Raw genomic sequence first — 25,981 nt, forward strand, 5'->3', positions numbered from 1 at the left:
TATTGTTAACATATATCAGGGTGGTTTTTTTTTAATGTTAATTATTTTACATCACTGGATATTTATAGCATTAAAAGTGATCTTATAATGAAGAAATATATTGGAGTTTTAAAAAGAAAATATAAATTTGGAGAGAATGTTCACATTTTACAATCTTGGTGGGCATTTTTTTTTATGAAAATGTTTGTTAAAAAATTAAATGTTTTTGGCCGGGCGTGGTGGCTCACGCCTGTAATCCCAGCACTTTGGGAGGCCAAGGCGGGTGGATCACCTGAGGTCAGGAGTTCAAGACCAGCCTGACCAACATGGTGAAACCCCGTATCTACTAAAAATACAAAAATTAGCCGGGCATCGTGGCGCATGCCTGTAATCGCAGCTGCTTGGAGGCTGAGACAGGAGAATCGCTTGAAACCAGGAGGCGGAGGTTGTTGTGAGCCGAGATCACGCCATTTCACTCCAGTCAGGGCAACAAGAGCGAAACTCCATCTCAAAAAAAAAAAAAAATTAAATGTTTTTGAGTATCCTTAAGGCTTGCATCACTTGGTTTAAGTTGCTCTCTGAGCTAATTTTAGTTTTAATTATTTCATTTGGGAGATATTTAATACCACTGATAATAAAGTTCCAGATTTAGCCTCCCTATCCCTCTTTACATTCATGCAGTGCTGTGTTCTTTGGCCATAGATTTTACCCATAATTTTGTCCAGCTACCTCACAGATGATAAATAATTGAACACAAAAGGAGAGCATCATGGATGCCATCCAGCTCACAGCCTCCATTACTACAGTGATCTAACCACCTTATATTGAGTAGGATAAAATTTACATGTTCCAGTGCTGCTATATTAAAATTTTACAGACACTTAAGATTTTTCACCTTTATCCCTTTTGACATTTTTATCACTAGAAAAAAATGCAAGAGTTGGAAGCAAAACTCCATGAAGAAGAACAGGAAAGGAAACGCATGCAAGCTAAGGCAGCTGAGGTAAGTTAAAATGTGAGAAAGTGGGCTCTTCATATTTCTTACCGCTTTTTGTGTACAAGTAAACAATTACATTTAGGTATCTTACATTATTTGTATTTTAGAATAGTCCAACATACAAATTTTCAGATATAGGTTAATGTAGAAAATTATGAACAAGTATTTTTATAGACAGAGTAAAATTTGAACAGTTTTTTAGCATGTTTGTAATTGTAGAGTTTCAATCAGCATTTTAAAAAATAACAGACTAAAAAACATCAGAGACTACACACATAAGAAGGTATGTAATCATGTAAAACTTCTTACGGCCATTATCAGTAATATTTAAAAGCTATCTTTCAGTATTGTACTTATAGGTACTTCTCTTTGGTGGCCTCAAGATGCCAGGATAGAAGTTGAGGTAGTGGGATGCCCCAATAGCTATTGACCCAGACCAGTTAACAGAAGCCACCACATGAGGAAAATGAGCTCTACTCTCTCCTACTTTTGGATTTTATCCCATGCAGTGGCCACCAGATAGAATAGGTGAGGCAGTGTGGATTCACAAAAGCATTGAGTTTATATGTACCAACCAGAACTGCATTTCTAGGAGATATATAGCAAGACTACTGAAGTAAGTCTGACTTACAGACTCAGTAAAATAAAATTTTCATGTTTTTAACTGAAGACACTCTCGTTATGAGCGTATTTGCTCAAATTCCTCCCAGATACTCCCCTGCCCCTTCCAGGGTCTTTTATTTTTATGATATTTGCATGTATCTTTTTTCGTAAGAACACAAGAATCAGGTCTCGATTCCAAGGAGTAGAGCCTCTGCAGTTCAATCTGTGACCAAAGGCCTACAATGTCTTGGGCTCACTTCATATATGTGATTACAGGAATATAAAAGTTATCTTTGTTATGTTGTCTATTTCTTCTAGTGCATCTCTAAATTTATTGACTTATTTTGTATTAAATCTGATACAGTTCCTTCTCAAATATTTACCTTCTGATCAATTTGTAGATTTGTTGTTGTTTTCCCTCAGTGTGCTTTCTGAGTTATATAGCCACATGGCTTAATTTTTGACCAACAAAATTTCTTTGCCCATTTTCTCTTTAGGGTTGGCCACTTCACTGTGTTTCCATTTCCATACTTGTAACAAACAAACTTGTGGGTTGTGCTTTATTATATGCATTGTGGTGTTGAGTACATTATATATGAAATACAAAATTTAGTAAGTTCCTTATTTAATGAATTTTTAAAATTATTTATGGTACTTCTATTTTCTCCTTCATTTAGCAGGCAACACATAGGGACCAAATTAGATGTTGCTGGTAATATGTTACCAGTAAATATTTTGAGTTGATGGTGAATATTATTGTACTGAAAGAACAATGAGGGATAGATGTGTGGTTCCAAGTCTAGTGTTGGGCAAGTTATATAACTATTCAGAGTCTGGATTTTTATCATTGTTAAAGAGTGGTCTGCTGAGGTCAGGAGTTTGAGGTCAGGAGTTTGAGCCTGACCAACATGGTGAAACGCTGTCTACTAAAAATACAAAATTGGCCGGGTATGGTGGTGCATGCCTGTAATCCTAGCTACTTGGGAGGGTGAGGCAGGAGAATCGCTTGAACCTGGGAGGTGGAAGTTGCACTGAGTTGAGATCACACCACCTGCATTCCATCCTGGGCAACAAGAGCAAAAAAAAAAAAAAAAAACAGTGTTCTGCATTTTGCATCTTGGTGTTGGTGTGATCAAATGAGAATAAAAAATAATGAAAGTGCTTTAAAATGTTTTAAAACTGTAGCACAGAAATATACAGCTGCTGGGAAGAATAAATAAACTGGAAGTTAAAATACTCAAAAAAAAGTTCTTGTATACTGTTTACACTCATTGGCATCATAAGTCTTCTAGAGTAGTAATTTCCTGTTCATTGAATTGTGTCTAGTCAATTTACTATATATAAAGCAATGTTAGGTGTGTTTGGAGTGTATAGATGCTTCCTGAGGGTAGAGATTCCTGTATTCCTTTGTCATGGAATAGATTTTTTACCCCAAAGCTGCACTCATGTGGGAAGTATTAGTAATAATCTTAGTATCTGTTTTTATGGAATCCAGTGGTTCTGAATATTTGTTCTAGCTCCATTATAATTTCCTGGGGAACTCTTAAAATACTTTAAAATATGAATTTCCCCAATCTGGAAAGGCCAAAATCATGAGATCTGGACAGGCACCTGGCAGTCCAAATTGTCCTCATAAACTGCAGACAGTTTTGGTACATATAGGCAGATTTGAAACAAACACTATTCCAGACAGGTTTTTTGTTTTGTTTTGTTTTGTTTTTTTAAAAAGGAAAGTTGAAAGTTGGCTTAGTGAAAAGAGCAGTCCTTTTTTGAAATTCTTAGTGCTTGTGGAATTTCTACCATGAAGATAGGTTATTTTTAAATTAGTATAGTTACTCAGCTTCTAGAGAAAAGGGCTTGGTAACATTTGCCTGATAGCTTCCAGTGTTTTTTGTTTTTTGTTATTTTTTTGGATATAAGTTTTCAATTCCTTTTTCTTATATAGTAAGTGCATGGCTTTTTAGAAAGGGAAGAAATGTATTCTGCTCTTCGGCTGTTTTGTGTCTGGTAATGTAGTAGATGCCATTTTTGAAAAGAATATATTTAAGCAATGGTTTGGGGTTAGATACATTGCATTTAACTCGTTAGATAGAATTTATGGAGTAACTACAAATACTGGAGATAATGTGTTCCACGCTGAAGAAGGGACAAATTATAACAGAAGGTCAAGATAAAATGAGAGACTGGTATTTATTTAAAATATTTGACAAACGTTGATAGATTGGTTCAAGACATAGTTATACAGCTGTAATATGTTTTTCAGTTAGATACTACCATTGGTTTTTACAGGCTTTTTACATGACACATCTGAAATCTGAGTCATAGCTTTTATTTCTACAGCATTAACTTGAGGCTCTCATTTTTCCTAGTTGCAGACTGGTCTAGAAACAAATAGACTTATCTTTGAAGATAAGGCAACTCCGTGTGTTCCCAATGCAAGAAGAATTAAAAAAAAGAAGTCAAAACCACCAGAAAAGGTGTGAAGACAGAACCAAATCAGGCAAAATGCTGATTACTTGGTATAGTTTATGTCAAAACACCCATAAACTGTGTGGTGTACTACAACCTTGAGAGAGTAAATCTTTCATTCTCAATTTCTTCATTCAGAAGGTGGAGATAAGTAATACCTACTCCTAAATTTTTATCCTGATAGTGAGAAAATATATAAGCATTTTGGAACTACAGAACACCATACAAAATTAGCATTATTAGTACTGCATTATCTTGTGCTCTTACAATGTTTTGTGTATATGTATACTGATTTTCTACTTAGAATGTAACTGTTGTTTTGTCAAGTGCTTTTTTCCCCCCAGCCTTTCCTAGGCTAGGATATATGCTAACAAGTACTATTAGGAGCTGGCTTGTGATCATAATGCCAACTATAGATAAGGCAAGTAGTAGCCTAGTAGTTAACTGAAGTTTCAAGTTAGTCATGTATAGTCAGTTTTTATTATCATGTGAATAAAATAAAATTGTTTTCCTTTTCTTTTCATTCAGAAAAGTTCTAGGAACTATTTTGGTGCACAACCACATTATAGATTATGCTTGGGTGATATGCCATTTGTAGCTGGGAAGGTGAGTTGGTCAAACTCCGGATTCTTTTTATACAACATTGATCCCTGAATTAAGTCCCTGCATCTGCAAGTATGTCTACAAATGGAAGGAACATTTTTCTGTGCCTTTACCAGTGTGTGGATCACAGTGATGTGAAAATGAGATGTAGGGAGGTTTTTGGGGATTAGGGAAGCAAGGAAGAGATGGGGAGGATACCTTAAAGTAGATAAAGTATATGTGGAAAGGAAGTGATAAAACAGAGACCCTAAGTTGAAGAAGGTGTTGTTTCAGATAGGGGTCAAGGAAATAAGAAATAGTATGTTTGTAGCATTGGATTTTTAGTATCAATCCTGTTGAGTTACATTTAGATATAGGTAGATATTCGAATAAGCACGTAGCACATTCTGCTTGTCCTCACATCCAGATCATTTCTAGGACTAATTCTCCAAGAAGCAGTCATACGTACACTTGAATCTTCAGTTTCTTCAGCACTTGAATGTAAAGCTGTATTGTCATATATCAAGTACTGAGTGAAGTGCCTAAAACTGTGCTAGTTGACACTACTTTATAAGCTGTTTGTGTTGCTGGTGGTTTTATATTTAGATTCCAACTAGATTGTTATTCTGGCATCTTGGGAAGTAAATGTTCTTCTGAATTTTGTATTTGTTTATATTTATTTATTTTAAACCCCTAGTAAATTCGCAGTGAAATCATGGGGAATATAATAAATTAGTGGTGACAAGCATTTGAAAAAGGTACAGTTGACCCTTGAACAACATGAGTCCGAACTCTGTGTGGGTCTACTTACAGGCAGATTTTTTTTTTCAATAAGTATCTTGGAAAATTTTTTGGAGATTTTTGGCAATTTGAAAAAACTTGCAAACTATAGCTTAGAAATATCAGAAGTTAAGAAAAAGTTGGTATGTCATAGATGCATAAAATTGACTATGTCAATACTAGTGCATTTTATCATTTACTACCATAAAATATACACAAGTTTTTTTTAATTATAATTTATCAAAACAATTTGCACACAGACTACGTGACGCCATTCACAGTCCAGAGAAATGTAAACAGAGATAAAGATGCAGTATGAAATCATAACTGTATAAAATTAACTGTAGTACATACTGTACGACTGATAATTTTGTAGCCACCTTCTGTTGCCATTGTGATGAGCTCAAGGGTTGGGAGTATTCACTTAAAATGCCACGTGACGCTAATCATCTTCAAATGAGCAGTTCATCTCTCCAGTCAATTGTGTATCACAGTAAAAAGTGTTCTCTAGCAGTTCCATATTTTCCATCATGTTTAGCACAATACAGTAAATAATTTGAATAATATCATGGGACCCATATCAAGTGCTACTAATGATGGTGGAAGTGCTCCCAAGAAGCAGACAAAAGTCATGACATGACAAGAAAAAGTTGCATTGCTTGATATGTACCATAGATTGAGGTCTGCAGCTGCGGTTGTCCACCATTTCAAAATAAATGAATCCAGCTGAAGGCCTATTGTAAAAAAAAAAAAAAAAAAAAAAATGATCCCGGCATGTTGGCGTGCACCTGTGGTCCCAGCTACTCAGGAGGCTGACAGAAGAGGATCACTGTAGCCCAGGAGTTCGAGACTGTAGTAAGCGATGATGGCACCACTGTACTCCAGCATAGGCAACAGAGTAAGATCCTCTTTAAAAAATTTTTTTTAAAAAAAAAAGGAAATTGTGAATCTGTCACTGCAGCTACTCTAGCAGGTGCCAAAACCTTGTGCTTTTTGCAAAATAGCTTTTTATCTCATTGAAAATGCAGCTTTTATGTGGATGCAGGATTGCTATAAGAAAGGCATACTTGTAGACTCTAATATGATTTGAGAAAAAGGAAAGTCATTATATGACAACTTAAAAGGAAGGTGAGGTATCTAAAGCTGGAGAATTTAATTCCAGCAAAGGATGGCTTGATAATTTTAGAGGTTTGGCTTTAAAAATGTCAAGATAGGAGAAGCAGCTTCTGCTGACCAAGAGGCAGCAGATGAATCCCAAGATACCATTAAGAAAATCATTGAGGAGAAAGGGTATCTTCCTGAACAGGCTTTTAATGCAGACAGAAGTACCCTATTCTGGAAAAACATGATGCCACGAAGGATATTTATAAGTAAGGAGGACAAGTCAGCACCAGGATTTAAGGAAAGAGGAGACGGGCTAAATCTACTATTTTGTGAAAACACAATCCGATTTACAATCAGGACTGCCCTTATCTATAAAGCTGCTAATCCCTGAGCCTTCAAGGGGAAATATACCCAACTGCCAGTCTTTGGGTTTACAACAAGAATGACCCTTTGAGAACCCTTTTTCTAAACTGGATTTAGAAAAAACATTGATCCATCAATCCTTTGTCCCTGAAGTCAGGAAGTAATTTGCCAGTAAGAGACTGCCTTTTAAAGTCTTTTTAATACTAGGCATTGCCCCTAGCTACCCAGGAGCATGGAAGTTCAACACCAAAGGCATGGAAGTAGTCTACTTGTCCCTAAACACAGTGTGTCTAATTCACCCTCTGGATCAGGGAGCATAAGGACTTCTAAGGCACATTACATACACTATAAAAAGGGTTCTTAATGCTGTGGAAGAGAACTTCAGAGAGAACATTATGAGGGTCTGGAAGGATTACAGTTGAAGATGATGCCATCATTTTTATAGAAAAAGTCATGAAAGCCATCAAGTCTGAAATAATAAATTCCTGTTGGAGAAAACTCTCCAGGTGATATGCATGATTTCACAGGATTTATGACAAAGCCAATCATGAAAAAGATGGTAGATATGGCAAAAAAGGTTGGAGGTGAAGGATTTCAAGATACGAATTTTGGAGAAATTAAAGAGTCAGTAGACACCATGATAGAGGAATTAACAGAAGATGACTGGGATGGATAAGAGTGCTTTCAAACCAGTGCCACAAGATGAAGAAGACAACACAGAAGTAATGTCAGAAAACAAGTTGACATTAGATAATCTGACAGAAGGGTTCTAATTATTCAAGACTGCTTTTGACTTTTTTTTTTTTTTTTTTTTTGAGACGGAGTCTCGCTCTGTCACTCAGGCTGGAGTGCAGTGGCACGATCTCAGCTCACTGCAACCTCTGCCTCCTGGGTTCAAGCAATTCTCCCACCTCAGCCTCCCAAGTACCTGGACAACAGGCACGCGCCACCATGCCTGGCTAATTTTTGTATTTTTTTAGTAAAGACAGGGTTTCTCCATGTTGGCCAGGCTGGTCTCGAAATCCTGACCTTAGGTGATCCACCTGCCTCAGCCTCCCAAAGTGCTGGGATTCTGTAATCCCACTGTAATCCCAGTGGCTGAGCCACTGCGCCCAGCCTGCTTTTGACTTTTACGACATCGACCCTTCTATGATACATCACTGAAACTAAAACAAATGGTGGAAGAATTGGTATCTCATAGAAACATTTTTAGAGAAATGAAAAAGCAGAAAAGTCAAGACAAATTATAGTGTATTTCTGTAAAGTTACACAGAATGTGCTAGCCTCTCCTGCCTCCCCCTCCACTTCTTCTGCCTCTGCCACTCCTGAGACAGCAAGACCAACCCTACCCTTCTGCCTACTCAACAGTGAAGATAATGGGGATGAAGGCCTGTATGGTGATCCAGTTAATGAATAGTAAATATACTTTCTCTTCCTTAGGATTTTCTTAATATTTTTTTCTAACTTTACTTTTAGAATATTGCTTACAATACATAAAACAAAAATGCTTCCAGTCAACAGCAGGCTATTACATTTTAGGGCAAAATTTATTATAGTTCTCAGTTACATAAGTGGGAGCTGAATGATCAGAACCCATGGACACATAGTGGGGAACAACATACACTGGAGCCTGTTTGGTGGGGGAGTTGGTCAACGGGGAGGGAGAGCATCAGGAAGAGTACCTAATGGATGCTGGGGTTAATACCTAGGTGATGGGTTGATCTGTGCAGCAAACCACCATGACACACATTTACCTATATAACAAACCTGCGCATGTACGCCAGAACTTAAAAGTTGAAGGAAAAAAAAATTTCATTATGGCAGAGTTTTGACTACATGGGTGGTCGGTGCCCCTAACCCCTCCATTGTTCAAGGGTCAAGTGCATATTAATATAATCAGAAAAATAACAGAACGAGAATTTTTTAAATTATTGCATATTGAAAGTGTACTCATAGGCAATTAGTATGCTAAATATATATTACAAGTTACGAGCAAAATAGTGGTTACATCGATTGATTTTTGAATAGTGGACCAGCCTTGCATTGATGTAATAAACTCCCACTTGGATGTGATATATAATACTGCTGCATTCACTTTGCTAGCTAACAATAGAAACTAAGATTAGAAGGAAAGCATATGTTTAGCTTAGCATGGTGGTTCCAAATCTGGCTAATCAAAATCAACTGGAGGACTTGAAAACACAAATTTCCAAACCCTAACTCTGCAGTGAGTTTGGTGTGCTGCCTAGGAACCTGCATTTTAAATATGCTTTCTAATAATATTTATGGAGCCAAGTAAGCCCAGCCATCTATTTATAAAGTGGAATAGTACATTGAGATTGTTGGTTTAGTGTTTAAAACAAAAGCAAAATATCTTTGAGAAGTCTATCAGGTTTTTCTTACACACGTGATAGACATGTAATTTAGTGCTTCCTATTATTCCAGGATACAGAAATGAACAATAGTGTCTACCACCTGGATGTACACTGTTTAATAGGTGAAATAGATATGTAAAAGCAATTAAAATATGATAAATGCTATGAGAGAGATGTAAAAAGTGTTATAGGTGATCTGATAATGGACTGATTGATTACCTGGCAGTTTTAAGGAAGCCTTTAAAAATAATATATTTGAACTGGGTTTTAAAGAATGATATAAATGTTGCTAATACACCAAAAAAATGTCATCTGCAAATATGGTTTGTTCACAAAATGGAGAGAAGGGGAGGATGATAGGACATGAGGCTAGGAAATGTAGGTTGCAGCTCAATGATGTGTATGTAGGGCCTTATTTTCCATTCTGAAACATAGTTAGTGGATTTATATCAAAGGATTTCAAATAGAAGAACATCATGATGAGAATAATTTTAGGATTTATATACTCTACTTTAGGGGGTGGAGAGTTCTTTTTACCTAGGCTTAGGGAATAGAAAGTGGTGTAGAGAATATAACTTCAATTACTTCTTTCATCATTTTTCTTCCTTTAGTCCACAAGCCCTAGCCATGCCGTGGTAGCCAATGTTCAGCTTGTCTTGCATCTAATGAAGCAACACAGTAAAGCTTTGTGCAATGATCGAGTCATCAACAGTATTCCTTTGGCAAAGCAAGTATCTTCACGAGGTGGTAAAAGTAAGAAGTTGTCAGTAACACCTCCCTCCTCCAACGGTATTAATGAGGAGTTGTCAGAAGTCTTACAGACTTTACAGGATGAATTTGGGCAAATGAGCTTGTGAGTTTTTGTTTTTTTTTTTAAATTCAGTTTAGCTCTAAAACCTCATTTTTTAAAAACTTGTTGACTTTATTAAATCTTACTTTCCTTTGTTGAGCAAGTATGGTTGAGCACAATCCTTATACCAACCAAGTTACTGGGACTTTAACAAATACAACTAATAAGGGTAAAATCTCTCTCTTTTTAAATACTGTTAAATGTTTTGAAGACCAAGGTTTATATTTAAGTTTTATTTCTTTGAGAACTTATGATATACAGTCATGCATCACTGAATGACAAAGATGTGCTCTGAGAAATACATCATTAGGCGATTTTCTTTTCCTTGTGCTAACATAAGAGTGTGCTAAGCTTATAGCTTATTGCTCCTAGGCTACAAACCTATACAGCATGTTACTCTACTACTAAATACTATATGCAGTTGTAACACAATGGTAAGTATTTGTGTATATAAACATCTAGGTAGAGTAAAAATATGATACTAAAGTCTTACGGGACCACTGTTGTATATGTGGTCTGTTGTTTACTACATCATCATCTGGCACCTGACATCACATTCATTTTAGCTAAACTTAACTGATAAGACATGAGTGTTTGAAGAGCAAGATTCATCTGTAGACTTTACATATACAATACTCTTTTGGGGAAAATAAGAATATAAAGAATTAACCTTGAAATTAAGAACTCTTGCATTTCCCTCTAGTGCCTTTCTTGAACTTTTAAATTCATATTTTTAATTAAAAATTTCTTGATCTAGGCTAGGCATGGTGGCTCACACCTGTAATCCCAGCACTTTGGGAGGCTGAAGTGGGCATATCACATCCTGGCTAACAGGGTGAAAACCTGTCTGTACTAAAAATACAAAAAATTGGCCAGGCATGGTGGCAGGCGCCTGTAGTCCCAGCTACTCGGGAGGCTGAGGCAGGAGAATGGCGTGAACCCGGGAGGCAGAGCTTGCTGTGAGCCGAGATCATGTCACTGCACTCCAGCCTGGGCGACAGAGCAAGACTCCGTCTCAAAAAAAAAAAAAAAATTTATTGCTCTGTTCAAAAAATGGAGTCATTTTTTAAACACATGGAGCAGTAACCCATAATGAGGTATAATAGACCTAACCATGAAACACAGAAAACTTAACCATGTTCTACTTCTGCTTTGTATATAGTGATCACCAGCAGCTTGCAAAACTTATCCAGGAGTCGCCAACCGTTGAACTGAAAGACAAGTTGGAGTGTGAATTGGAGGCATTAGTGGGAAGGATGGAAGCAAAAGCCAACCAAATAACTAAAGTTCGAAAATACCAAGCCCAGGTAACTCAGTTTTCCTTCACTCAAGTTTCTAATGATTAAGAAAAAAAAAACACTTTAATTCAAATATTAAATGATGACACTAAGTGTATCATAGATAAATATCTACAGGAGATACTTCTTTACTGAAGACATTTGTTCATTGAGAATTGGTAAGTGGATTAAGAAAGAAGACACTTTTAGTCACTTAGCATATTCATCTAAGAAACATCTTTCAAATACTGAATATATTTAATATTCTTTATGAATAAGCTTTAACTTCTTTGATGAATTTAAATTGGAGTTTATCCAAGTAAGTTTTTTTAAAAGCACCTGCGAAATTCTGTTTCCAAAGGAATAAGTCATACATTAAATATGTGAAATATATTTATGTTGCTAATCATTTTATATCAGCCAACAATGTAGTACTACCAGATGCAGTGGTGACATCACACTCAAGGGTTTTCAACCAGAGAGAAACATGATTCATATATTTAAGAGATTACTGTAGTGACTAGGGGTAGGGTAATGGGATCAAGGCAGAGAGGCTGAGAGATCAGCTATAGATGTATCAGAGGTGGTCAGCAAGACAGTAGTTGGGTTTGGGCAGAGGTAAACAGATTTGAGGTATGTTTTGGAAGTAAAAAAAATATTGGGGTTACTTGCTGCTGGGTATCATGTAGAAGGAGAGGGAGTTAGGATGGTGATTCCACTGACTAAAATGGAGAAAGCTGAGAAGTTCAGAGAGCAGAACAGTTTTGTTGACTGTTGATTGGTAGCCATATGATAGACACACAGTGCCAAGTGCTCTGAGTATATCTTCTCATTTAATTTTCACAAAAGGCTTCTGAGGTGGGTATATTCTCATATTATAGATGAGGTAGATGCTAAGCCACATTTTCTGGGAAGTATGCATATATCCTCAGTGAAATTAAATAACTTGCCCAAGTACCAGCTTACTGGGAAATGGCAGAGCTGGGATGAAACTAGCCTTTTCAACTCTAAAACTTTGGCTGTTTTTTCAAAGTTCATGTATGAAAAAGAAATACAAGCAAATTATTCCTGTAGGAGTAAGGAGTAATGGTCTAATTTGTTGCTTATACTAATTAGACTTATTCTATTGGAACACCAACATGCCAGCATCAGTTTGGCTAAAGTAAAAATAAAGCTCCCGTATTTAAAATTATTCTAAAAATAATGGAACAAAAATAAAATTCTTTTCATAGTATTAATACATTACCAATTACATCTGTTCATCCATCTGGAAATTGCTTCTTTGCCTCCTCAGACTAGTTTCTAGAATATCTTTCTCCTCTTCTCCCATTTGTGAAAATCCTTCCCATTCTTCTTTTCTCTGTGTCTGATTTTTTGCCTCCTTCATGAGTCTTTCCTTCAACTCCCCTTGTTTCTCACTCGCCCTGTTCTGTACTTTGGCAATATTGCCTTAATTTAGGACAACCAGAATTTGTTTACTCATGTCTACTTGTTTGTGTATTGTTTTATATATATATAAGCATATATTTATTTATATTAATATTTAAGTGTTAAATGACTAGTGCAGTAGATTTTGAAGTCTTTAAAAGAAAGCCTAGAATGTATTATTTTTCAGTTAGCATGAGAGTTAACCAAAAAAAGGTACTCTTGTACTTTTTGTTGTCAGAAAAAAAATATTTTCATTAAATTCTCCTTTTCCTTCCTGCCTTGGTTATTTGGTATAGCTGGAGAAACAGAAGTTAGAGAAGCAGAAGAAGGAATTAAAAGCTACCAAAAAGACTCTTGATGAAGAAAGAAACAGCAGCAGCCGTTCTGGAATCACAGGGACCACAAATAAGAAAGATTTTATGAAACTGAGACCTGGAGAAAAAAGGAGAAAAAATCTTCAGTTATTGAAGGACATGCAAAGCATACAGAATTCATTACAAAGCAGTAGTTTGTGTTGGGATTACTGACTCATAACCAGGTCAGAAATTTTATTCAGATAATCTGTACCTCATCAATCAGATGATGACAATTTACTTCCCAGGTCTCATACTCACTTATGTTGGAATTAATTAATAGCAGGTGTTAAAGGACCCAGGCTTCATTACACAGGCTTTTCATGTATGCAGGATGACTCAATGTTAAAGCATTTAAATGGAAACCAGGGGAGTTTTAAAGCCCGAGAAACCACACATAATCTTTTGTTGAGATGAGTTTGCTGTACTGACGCTGCACTTTGTAAACAGATTACCAGTTTTTTACTTGTGGGTGTGATTTTTTAAAATAGTTCTTTATATATAATTAAAATTAGGTTTAAATTTTCAAAATATGAGACTATGCTATAGGCAGTGCTTGCTTGAAAAGTCTCATTTTTAAATCTCCCTGGCATGAGGTGCCCACTTCCCCTTTCCAAAGCAACCATTAAACATACTTTGTTTCTACTATTGGTGGAGTTTTTCTATATTTAAAAATACATATATATTTCAGAGGATTTTTATTTTGCTTTTTGGCATTTCAGACTTTGATCAGTGTTAAGTGCACTTGTATTGCTTTTTAATCTGTTAATTTTTTAAAGACCCAAGCAGTCATTTTGAGTTATATCTATAAAAATTATAAAAGGATTTTTGAAAGTATAAACAAATTGTCAGTGAAATAAATGAGATTTTGGAATAAAGTGAGAATGGGAGAAGGGATATGTTGTGAGCATATACCTTCACAGTTCTTAATACCTGTTTTGTAATCATGATATTCAGTCAAGGCATTATGGTTTTTAATCTTGAAACTTAGAGAACCCTTTGAATATTTGCTTTTACTGGTGTACAGTATGAGTGGAATATAAACTGTACACATAATTATCATGTTGATATAAATCATAATTTCAACTAGATCAAGACATGTTAACCTTTTATAAATTTAAAGTCAATAAAGCACCTTTTTAAAGGAAACACTGCAACTTTCCTTAACAGCCTGTTAATAAAGGCTTTGTGACAAGCTCTCAAAAAATGCATTTCTAAATAGGAGGACATCAATGTATTGATGAAGAGAAAAAACTAGTACTTAGTTGCCACACTCATGCTTACATAGAAAGAGAGCCCAAGAATATTAGATTTCCTCATGATACAAGATACTACAGTAACAGGCTTTAATTTAGGATCCTTAAGATTTTGGGGTATTATTTGTGACTCTCCTGAAATTGTAAACTTGTGCTTCTGTGTCCAGTTTTCTAATGAGTAGGTTCGTAGCTTGATTGAATTAATAATTGTGAGCCCATAGACACAAGGGAAGTGAGAAACAGTGCTCTGGTGACATGATAAATATATGTGTCAACCACCATTTCAGCTATTAAAAACTCCTGTTATCTCCTTGTTTGAATTTCAGGTCATTAAATTGTATAACCATCATTTGAATTGTAGTGGCTCTGAGTCCTAATTAGGAGAATGGTGATTGAATGATGCTAAATCCCACCCCTTTTCTCAGCTAGGATTCAAACTGAACTACTCCAGCTTTTTGTACTGTCAGGTGAGAAGTGAAAAAATACTGCTTCCATTTTCTTATCTGCAAGTTTACAGTAGAGGAATGTGTCATCCATCCACTTACGTTGTAACAGAGCTTTATTGCAATTCATTTCAAATAAGGTTATGTTTACAGACTTGTGGTAGACATGTGAATTGTTCATTCCAATATAATGTGAATTGCAGTGGTAGTAGCGGTATACACAGTGCTATGGGGGCACAGAGGAAGGTGGGGATGTCAGAGAAGGCAGTCGTGAATCAGATAACTTCCCAAAGGAAGAGATGATGCCTAAACTCTAGAAAATAGGAATTAGTCACAAGGGAGAACAGTTGTTCCAGGTGCACAAGACAGACTGAACCAAAGTGGGGAGGCAGGAATCTGCAGATTACATGAGGCAATTGTGAACAGCAGAGTAGCATTGGTACGTAAAAGTTGAGGTATGCAGAGACTAGGTCGAAGGAGGCTAAGGAGCTTCAACTTAATCATACTGGTCTCTAAATTTTGTAACCCTAATCAAAAAGGGAAAAAATTACACCTGCACAACCAATAGACATACAAAGTTATGAAACATGTAACTGTCAATTCAAATATTTAAAAGTTTTGCTTGTGTAAATATATAAAAAGGGCTAGTATTCCTCCTCCCTCCCTCCCACACACACCAGTGGTATATATTAAATGCCCAAGTGCATGTACTCCATATTGGAGACTTCTGCAGAAGGTGAGGGGAACCACTGGAAGGTTCTCAGCAGAGAAGTGGTAGGGTTGCACTTAGATTTCCCTGGCTTTTGATTTGAATTTGAAGTGGATGCAAGTATGTTAAGACTAGAAGCTTTAAATTCTTGATCTCTTCAGCCATTCTACATTCTTTTATGTGGTATCAGGCCAAGATAACCAAGGTTTAAATGAGGAAAATGGCAGATGCGTTTGTGAAATACTTGGAGTAGAAAGCTTAATTTTTAATTACTGATTTGCTAGCCACTTAAATGCCCTGTTAAAAAGCTTATATTTCACACAATTACCAAAGAAATCATTTTGGTACCAATTTTGCTAAATTGGATATACTAATAGAAACTTCCTCACTGCAAGACCAAGAGGGAGGCTAAGGTTCAGACTCTCTGTATAGTGAATTAGTGAGTGGAAAAACACTGTATATTTTAATTGTTTGATTTGGGTGTTGGTTAAGGAAAAATGGGTACAAACTGAACATTTTCATCTGGGGTGCATATTCCTCCAATAATTTCCAAATATTTCTGGGGAAAAAAAAGAAATGGCAACTTTGGACAAGAACAAAGTTTAAAAGTCAGTTGGAATTTCTTTTAATTAAAAGACCAAGGGGACAAGAAGCTCCTTTGTTACAGTACATTACATATGGCTCTTATGTAGAATAAAATAGACATCAGAGTCAAATGTTTCTACCAGCACCAAACTCTTACTTGTAGCAGGTGAACAGTGAAGCAAGATTTCTTTTACTGGCTTTGAGATTGTAATACATCTTTTACATGCAGTGTGTTCTTTGGTAGACTTAATCGTTGAGTGAAATTACAGAATTTGCAAAGGAAAAAAATGTAAAATTTGAGCACAGTACTTCTCACTATAAGCTATTTATACAGAATTCAGAAAAAATGTCAATCCTAGTAAGATTTTTAAATACTTCTTAAAAACTTGCTAATTAGCTTCTGTGTGTTCAGACACACAAGACAAGTGAAATACACTGTAGTAAATAATTAGTTTTTAAAATATCTTTCATGATGTTTCTGGTAATTGGGCTAATCTGAAGGGCATGGAATTCTTTGAACTCCTGTATGGCTACTTTCTCCCCTTCATTTTCCCCCAAGCACATCTATAAGGCCTCCCATTTTGGATCAACTTGCTAATATGTCTTAAGTATGTAAATAATGACGGCAATAATTTTCAACTACTACCACACCGTAGTATCTTCAACACTTTGCCTTTTACTATATGAAGAATATGGAAGTTGAAAAGTGATCAAGGTAAATCAGTTACTGAAAAAAAGAAAAACCTAGAATGGAGAAAGGGATATCAAATGATTTTGATCTGTCATGACATCAAGGCCCAATATATGTGATGCCACAGAATTTCAGTGTTGGTTTGAAAACTGATGTTCCTCTGCACAGTGAGCACAGAGTGTATTTCTAAAATGGTTTTAATATTACCAGATGCCAAAAATTTGTAACAGCATTTGCCTTTTAATAGAAACTTGTTCCCACTGTGAATCCAGGATTGAAGTATTTTAATATTCTTTGGATACTTAAAAGATTAGTATCATAATCATGTAATTACATATGGAGTTACTTCACTTAAGCCACCTGCACTGCTACAGTTCTAAACTCATCCTAGAGAGATTTAAAATAAATAAAGTGACTGAACTTTCTCTCATAGATGGGTTCTAAATTCCGAAGACTTTCTACTCATAGAGCTGCCAGTGTAATCAAGAGTGTATAGCAATGATGCCCCTGATCTTACAGTCCTTTATACAACAGTTTGGACAGGAGTGACACACTGTGCAGGAGAGCTGGCTCTCTCTGAGGATGAGGTTGATCGGTTAGAAATCTCTCTCTGTAGTTCCTCTACTTTTTTCTGAAGCTCTGCTCGTTTAGCAAGAAGTTCTTTGTATCTGTTGTGAATAGGTTCCTGCAAGAGCAAAACATAAAATATTCAACTAGGCAATCCTGACCAAAGCCAGGTCAAATCATTCCCTAAATGTTGCAGTGTATGTTTTTTCAGCTGTTGGAACCAATGGCACCTTTCCAACCCATCAGTGAAATTAAATACCGGGACTGTGGACACCACTAATCTTTTCACTGGCTTTCCCAGTGCCCCTGAGTATTTCCAAAGAATAACCTGCTGTGTAGGTGCTCCTGAAACTGGTACTTTTCCAAATACAACAAATAATTAACAAGACAATTAAAAGACAGTAGTCAGAAGATTCCCTGTTATTTATAGGTTTTTAGTCTTAAACAGTTCTAAGTAGTTAATATTCCATAAACATATTCACAGTAGACCAGAATTTTGTTCAGCTTTTAACTTTCCTAAAGCTACTTTCTTCAGCTTATTAAAACAAGACCCCCTAGAGGTTATCCAGACAGAGGAGGGAAGATGCAAGAAAAGAGAGCAGTGATTTGTCCAATGTCATACAAGCAGTCCTAAGAACCAGGTATACTGATTACCCTGCCCCAGTGTAGTATTTTTCTACTATACGATTGTTAACTATCAATGGGTAAGGAGTAAAGTTTTAAATATGCACAGATAATCTTTCCAGCTGCTTTTAAGGAGACAAAGTTGCACTGCATGAATGAAAACTCCCATTGTATATTGTAAGGCACATACCTGTGGTTTCATCCGTGGATTCCACCTTATGTAATATCCCACCCAGAGCTCTAGGTGGCGCATGCTGGCTACTGGATAAAGGACATGATTGGAATAGCTCCCATAGAGAGGATTAGTGAAGTCTTCCAGCTGGCTGTTTATGTAAGACCACAGTGACACAGTCCTTTTAGGAAGATTCTGTAGGCAGGAAAAATAGGTAAAGATTCTCCACCACATAAGCCATTTACACTTTAGATGAAATTTGTGAAGAAGTACTTTGTTGTCATTAAAATCTCTTTAGAGGAAGTGGACTTGGAGACTTCAGTGATAAACCAACTTATATTAAGATCAGAGGGTACTGGAAAACAGTATGCAGTTCCTCAAAGAGATACCATATGACCCAACAATTCCACTCTTGTACATATCCAGCAAACAGAAGACATGTCTGTACAAAAACTTTTTTATAGATGTTCAAAGCAGCATTATTCATTAACAGCCAAGAAGTGGGAACAACCTAAAAGTCCATCAACTGACGAATGGATAAGTAAAATATATCCACACAATGGAATATTATTCAGCCATAAAAAGAAATGATATAAAATGTATGAACCTTGAAAGCATATTAAAGGAAAGGAGCTAGACACAAGGTTTACATATTAAATGATTCCATTTATATGAAATGTCCAGAAGAGGCAAATCTAGAGACAAAAACATTAGTGTTTGGCAGGGGTGAATGGGGAGTGACTATTAACAGGTTTTCTGAGGTGATGAAATGTTCTGAAATGAAAATGTGATGGCTGTACAACTCAGATATACTAAAAACCAGTCAACTATACACTATCAAAGTGAATTTCATGGTATGCATATTATTATCAATTTAAAAAGTTTTTTTAAAAATAATCAATGATTCCTACCCCAAGGCTCTCAAAAAATAAAACTCTTCGAAACTTAGCTATGCTATTTCTAATGAACATTCCTTAAGTTGTTGAGTGCCTGCTATGCATAGAAATACTTACTGCATGCTAGACACTGAAGACATAAGGTGAATTTAAAAATTTAATACCTGCCTTTAAGGAAGTCTAGGAAATACTACATAGCAGTTCTTGTGGTATTTTGTATTGCTTATTTAATAATCTTCATAATTTTACAAAAGCAGACATTAACTTCCCCAAGCGAACTGTTACAGTAAGTGATAGATCCAGGATTTGAACCCAGCAACTGGGCTTCAGTGCAAGTACTTATTCCTACTGTGCTTTATAAAATAAAACATAAATACTTTGTAACCACATTTTTTAGAATAAAAGTTGATGCAGAGGGAGATACCAATCAAGATGATTAAGATGTTGATACATAGGATAGACAAGTTTTGATAAAGAAGTAAAACTTGAAATGTAATCCTTACACCATTTCTTCTTAATACCAACCCCACTTAACAGTGATACCTTTGGGGAAAAGGGATAACGAAAAACTTTAACTTTCTACATACTATCTTTTCCGTATTTGAATTTTTTTATGGTATTACTTTACAACTTAAAAAACTCAAAAACTTAACCTAAAATGTCTCAATAAGTAGGATATACTTGGGAATTTGAGCTGCCTATTCACTCGAATATACATTTTCTGCTAATTAAATTTTTCTGCACCTGCTGTAAAGGATTTCCATTCTACATGGAAAAATTGGTACACTGGTGCTCCTTAGATTTCACGTACTTCAGTTCTCTTTAGCAGAAACCACTTCCCACTCATGAACTCAGCAGACAGCTAGCTAGCACCTTCAGCCTTGTGACAAAGATACTTCAGAATATATCAGGTCCAGATATATGGAAGGAAGCCCTCAATATTATAGCATGTAAGATAAAGTATGACCCAAAAGAATGACTTCAGTTGAAATCTGTCACAGAGTACATTCTTTTAGGGAAAAGTATACAGTAGAGATAGTATGGGGAAGGTCATGTTTCATATTTTACCTCTTTTCCTCTCTGTTGTTCACTATTACAGAGGAATGTTCCGAATAAGCAGCTGTATAGGTGGTCCAAAATGGTAATGAGAAAATACTCATTGAATTCAAATGCGGTAGGAAACTGCAAATCAAACATCACAAACACATAAATTAAGACATTCTTCAAGCATATTCATCCCTGTCATGGGTAGATCCTTTTGAGGTAGTATTTAAAATGAAGTTAAACATTCAAATCTACATTATTCCAAGCCATTATGGCATTATTCGTATGGTTTTCTTTTCAAAAATCATGTTATCACTTTTCTGATCATGATGTTTCTGTATCTGCTATATCTGCTAACCCTAAATTTGCAGGCTGAATTTTGACTTAGGCAATTCTGGCAACTCTAGGCATTCTCTGCCCAAAATGACCACAAACAACATTAAGATTCTTTAAATTTTCAAGAACATAGTTGTTTTTCTTTTTTAAGGATTACACACAAAATGCCAATAATGTCTCCAGAAAATGTCAGCAATACACAAAAGTAAACATCTAAGGCAGATAATTTACAAGTCAACCAACCTATTAAATATTTAGATGGTGCAAAAATAATTGCGGCTTTTGCCATTGAAATGGCAATTACTTTTGCACCGACGTAAACTTTTCAGGGAACATCCATCCCATCAAACCAGAGTCCCTTGTAAGCCACTATTTTGGCAGCATCTAACAAAAAGAAAATTCACTCTCTAACCCAAGCCAGGGGCTTGACTGGATGTCTTAGTTTTACACAACACAATTTTAGGGGACTAATCAAATGAAAAATTACGAACCCCTGAAAGTTAGAAGGTTTCGTTTAATCCATCCTATCTAATATTTCAGAATTATTTGGAAGCTTCTATGTAAGATTCTACCAATTATAGGGCTGTACGTGATAAGAAATTATATAAATATTTAGATTGCAGACTGTGAAAATACACATTGCTTCCAAGCTTTTACATCTTAGATCCCTTCCTTTATAGTGGAGGAAAATAGTATAAACATCATGTAAATGGAACATGGATGAAAACAACTTTGCCTTAAAGTTTCCTACATTTTAGCAAGTATAGACAGGGTAACATGACAGATTTCCTAAACAAGAAAGGGCACTTACTAGGCCTTGATTTTTGTGGCTGTGAAGCTGAATGAAGCAGATGATCAAGCAGAAGATGACCAAGCATTTCCACAACAAAACCAATTGTAAAAAACTTTGTCAAGTCCCATTTATTCCTTTAAAAAATAAATCCCACCTATTTTTCACACTCTTAACAGCCCTATTATTAGCGAAATATGAATGCATCCTGAATCACTAAATAGCAATCCCAAGGATCTAAGCCTGCGATTAGTTTTTCATCTTCTTGGCAAAACTGTTAGCTCAGTTATGAGAAGACAGTGTAATCAGTAGGCATTTCCTCACAAAGAAAGTAAAATAGCAGGGCATTAACTGCAGCTATTGCTTTTAAAACCCTCAGCAGAAGAGAACTATTTTGTTTTCTTTACATGTTTAAAATCTAAAAGGCCCTTCAACAATTGCTTCCTGATCTCAGGGCTGAGGTGACAGAGATGAGGATGGAAATAGGAGGAGAGGTATAGAATCTGGCTGTCATAACATAGTTGGTTCTGTTTTGACAAATGTGCTATTCAAGTCTCTGTACTAGTATTCAAGTATTTATAAAACTGATAATTGCTAACAAACATTATGACTAGTTAATATGCTTTATATTCAGGAAGAAAATATACAGAAAAACACTAGGTGTATAAAATAAAGATGGCTACAAAGTATTTTAGGTTCTATCAAAAATACAGATTTAAACTGATTTTCTTTTATTTAGTGCCAGGCTCAAAATTAGGATTAAACTACTTTTAGATAGACAGCATATATAAAGTTAACAAAATTAAAATTACTAAGGAAGAAATGTATTATGATGTATTCTTCTCCCATCCAAGTGCTAACAAGGCCCGACCCTGCTTAGCTTCCAAAATCAGATGAGATGGGTGCATTCAGGGTGGTTGGCTATAGATTATCGTGTACTCTTCTTTGCAAGAAATTGGTAAATGTGCTTTTTTTCTAGCAAACATATCAGAACTGATACATTCAAACACATCGTTTCCTTCAAGGTATTCACCTTGGAAAGCAGTACACACAACCATCAACAATACCACAGTTTCAAAGAGCTTTCCTACTCCTTTGATGGCGAATTTTATTTCTACCAAGAGTCAAAGGCTATTTAAAACTGAATATGGTAACAGTCAAAAGTGGGGTCCTAATGTTTTGGGTCAAACATCCAAAAAAGGATTGTAGGGACTTAGGTAGTTGATATACTGCCTCAAAGCCAATTCCAAAGGAAAAAGTCAAACCTAATCCAAGAAAGTATTAAACACTGCACCTCTCCTTCCTCTTACCTCCCAACACACCAAAGGTCTGATTTATAAACCAAAACTGAATTGTATACACCTTTTCAGTATATATGCTAAAATACTAGTCTCATCATATCATAGTCATAGCTACAAAAATGCTTCATTTAACCCAACAGTTTCTAAATAATTCACCCAAGTAGAAATGCTTATGGAGGCAAGGGACTGTTAAATATATAATTGATGATTATTTCACCCCATTACCATTAATTTTCTTGTATTGAAATAAACAGTATTTTATTGAAGCTAAAAATATGCTCCTAAATAAATATGATCCAAAGCCAGGCAGAGCCAGCACTTGCCCTACTTTAAATTCATATGGCAATCTAAATAAAAACAATTCAGACTTCCAGTTGTTTTGGGGTCTAATAAACCCTTGGGTAAATAATTATCTCCCAATGAGCTGCATTCAACAGGGTTTCGAGATGGTTTGAGTCAGAATTAAATCATATTTTTAAGACAATGACCCGTTGCCTCATTAATAAAGTGATCTCACAATAAACCAGGTGTTTTCTCAGTCCCCTCTACTCTTTCCAAAAGATTAAATTCATTTATATTAATATTTCAAATAAATTTGTTAGAAGTTCTAAAAGCCATAATAGCTCTCTCTATGCCAAAAAATAAAAAGAACTGGATGTAGTATGTGCCTCCCTTGTTATGCTTTCTATATAAACATTTTTCCCTTAAAATAAAAATTTTCAGAAGAAGCAGATTGAAATTCAAAAAAAAAATTAACAGTTAAAGTTACTTAAAATATTTTATTTTGCTTGCGGTACCTAGCTTATTTTTTCTCCACTCTTAGCAATATATAAATGTGTTTTTAGGTGAGCCTATTTAACACTATTTGTTCAAAACAAATGATAAAACCTCTCAGGAGTTATTATCAATGCTACTCACTGAAATACTAATAGAATCAAATTTTCAAGTGTTAATCTTTAACCTGATTCATAATGTGACAATAAATAGCTCTCACATGGACATGGAGATGTTACAAGAATTTCCATTTAATGATCTATAGGCTAATCAGTGACCAAATCTCCCCACTCTGACAGGAAAACTGAAAGGAGATGTGTAAGAATACATAGGCCAGATAAATTACCTGTCTTGTCATCTGCCAGACACAGTCAATAAATTGAAGAAAAACAGGCGATCTGTCTGCATCTGCATGGTTCTTATCTCCATGGCCAACTCTCTGAAGCAAAAAGAGTGAAATATATGAACTTAGGGGGATTTTTCATGTTTTGATGGAAATAATTTTTTAAAAAAATAATTGGTCAATAGTCTAAAAATTTTCAAAGTCGGGTGCTGTGGTTTACACCTGTAATCCCAACACTTTGGGAGGCTGTGGTGGAAGGATCACTTGGAGCCAGGAATTCGAGATGGGTCTGGGCAACATAGCAAGACCCCATCTCTACAAAACATTTTTAAAAGCCAGGCATGGTGGCGTGCACCTGTAGTCCTAGCTTTCAGGAGGCTAAGGTGGGAGGCTGGCTTGCGCCCAAAAGTACAGGACTACAGTGAACTACGGTCGCATCACTGCACTCCAGCCTGCATGACAGCAAGGCCCTGTCTCAAATACATAAAAATTTTCAGAAAGTCTTTTAAAGAGCATTGCAAAGTAAGTAAAAAATCACCCATTATCCTGCCAAGCAGAAACATTTTGATGTGCAAACTGCTCAGATATTTTCTGACACAAGTGCTTATAATATGAATTACTACTCTGTTTAATAAACTCAGATCCTAAAAGGTTGCTAATAAAAGATGGAAGCAGTCAGAACCTCAGAGGCCAGATTTTTGTCCTGGAGATTTTAATTTCTCTCTGAGAAATAAGTTACATGGACACTGGCCTCAGAAAGCACCATTCTCTGTTCATATCTTGACCACTGAGTGAAGGGTACCCCCTCCTATCTTAGCACTAATGTGTCTTCATCAGGAGGAACCATATTAGCACACATCTTAGAAAACCTGTCAAAAATGCTTGACATCCACCCTCCAAGCATGCAGTCATCTACCTAGTTTCTCAGTTATTTCCTCTGAGGACCTTTGACTCAGATAACTGAAAACAGAATCCTGCTCCTTACCCCAAAGCAGGAATTCTAAAAGTGTGGTCCACAAACATCCAAGGGCTGTGAGGTCAAAACTATTTCCATAATATTAAGACATTATTTACCTTTTTCAGTGTGTTGGCATTTGCACTAATGATGCAGAAGTTATGAAGGATAAAAATTCTGGTGCCTTTGCAGGCATCAAGCAGGGCAATGCTTATAATTAAAACTGCATTCGTACCCACTGTATTCTACCCTACCAGACACTCACAGTTAAATTAAAGAAAAAAAGTCCATTTCTCTTATGCCAGTGTACTTAACAACGCAGTAAAAATTACTGATTTTATTAAATCTCATCCCTTAAGTACACTTTTTTTTTAATGGCCTGTGTGACAAAACGGGAAATATGTGTTAACTCTTTGCTACTGCATGTAGTATGGTAGGAGATAGCACTTTCTCATCATTTTTACTTGAAAGAAAAATTAATGTATGCATTGTGGTTAGAAAGACTTAAAGACTTTTTTTTTTTGAAAAGGTACAATGTGAATTATCACTGAAAGGAAAACAGCTGACAATATTTGTTGTCAATGAAAAAATTCAAGCTTTTGAGTGAAAACTCAATTTTTGGTGAACTTTTGCCCACCATAATGAGCTTAAAAATACTTGAAGGCTTTTCTGACAAAACCAATGGTGATGATTAACAAGTGTGATTTTATGGTATTATATGATGAAATGCATTTACATTTGGAAGATCTGTGTAACTCAATAAGCCAGTATTTTCCAAATAACCAATATGTGATGTTACAAAACCACACATGGGTAAAAGATCTATTCAAAATGGAAGTGAGACCAATGGAATTTAATGATAAAAAAAATTCATTAACTTGATTTTGGATTCCATATAACAACTAACCTCTAAGAAACTACCATTTATCAAGTTCTGGCGTAGTATCAAAGAAGAATATCTACAATTCCCTGAAAAAGCTATTAAAATACTTTCTGCTTTTCCACTTACATATCTGTATATGGTTAGATATTCTTCATATACTAAAACCAACAAAACATAACAGATTGAAGGTAAAAATAGATATAAAATTCAGCTATCTTCTATTAAGCCAAACTCATTAAATTTGCAAAAGTAAAACAATGCCAGTCTTTTCATTAAACTTTTTGTTTTGGAAAATATTTTTTTTAGTTTAAATATTTCTGTTAATATATAATAAGCTTATTTCCTAAATTAAGAAATATTTTTAAATTTTTTCAAATTTAATTTTCAATATGGCAAATATTGATATAACTCACATAAAGTTCTCTGGGTAACAAGTTTGGGGAGTTAGGAAA

The 25,981-nt window shown here is 35.5% G+C and overlaps 2 protein-coding genes and 1 pseudogene across 43 annotated transcripts in view; 1 reads left to right on the forward strand and 2 right to left on the reverse strand.

The window, feature by feature from the left end:
• Positions 1 to 14,771, forward strand: part of CEP57 (centrosomal protein 57) — a 42,680-nt gene extending 27,909 nt beyond the window's left edge. For 12 of the 20 annotated variants that reach the window (NM_001440869.1, NM_001363604.2, NM_001440877.1 and 9 more), the window contains 6 exons: positions 905 to 982; positions 3,949 to 4,056; positions 4,577 to 4,654; positions 9,864 to 10,105; positions 11,265 to 11,409; positions 13,104 to 14,771. In NM_001440869.1, coding sequence (NP_001427798.1) covers positions 905 to 982; positions 3,949 to 4,056; positions 4,577 to 4,654; positions 9,864 to 10,105; positions 11,265 to 11,409; positions 13,104 to 13,334 — 882 coding nt within the window. In that variant the 3' untranslated portion in view covers positions 13,335 to 14,771. The other 8 variants (NM_001440871.1, NM_001440879.1, NM_001440875.1 and 5 more) reach the window with 4 other exon arrangements.
• MTMR2 (myotubularin related protein 2) overlaps positions 14,958 to 25,981 on the reverse strand; it is a 91,228-nt gene continuing 80,204 nt past the window's right edge. For 19 of the 23 annotated variants that reach the window (NM_001440635.1, NM_001440649.1, NM_001440647.1 and 16 more), the window contains 4 exons: positions 23,695 to 23,787; positions 20,172 to 20,285; positions 18,226 to 18,402; positions 14,958 to 17,529 (listed from right to left, as the gene is read on the reverse strand). In NM_001440635.1, the coding sequence (NP_001427564.1) occupies positions 17,368 to 17,529; positions 18,226 to 18,402; positions 20,172 to 20,285; positions 23,695 to 23,787 (546 nt within the window). In that variant the 3' untranslated portion in view covers positions 14,958 to 17,367. The remainder of the gene's footprint in view (positions 17,530 to 18,225; positions 18,403 to 20,171; positions 20,286 to 23,694; positions 23,788 to 25,981) is intronic. The other 4 variants (NM_001440648.1, NM_001440639.1, NM_001440638.1 and 1 more) reach the window with 1 other exon arrangement.
• Positions 22,095 to 22,202, reverse strand: RNA5SP345 (RNA, 5S ribosomal pseudogene 345; annotated as a pseudogene).

This window comes from Homo sapiens, chromosome 11 (genome assembly GCF_000001405.40).
Source record: "Homo sapiens chromosome 11, GRCh38.p14 Primary Assembly".
Classification (NCBI taxonomy): Eukaryota; Metazoa; Chordata; class Mammalia; order Primates; family Hominidae; genus Homo; species Homo sapiens.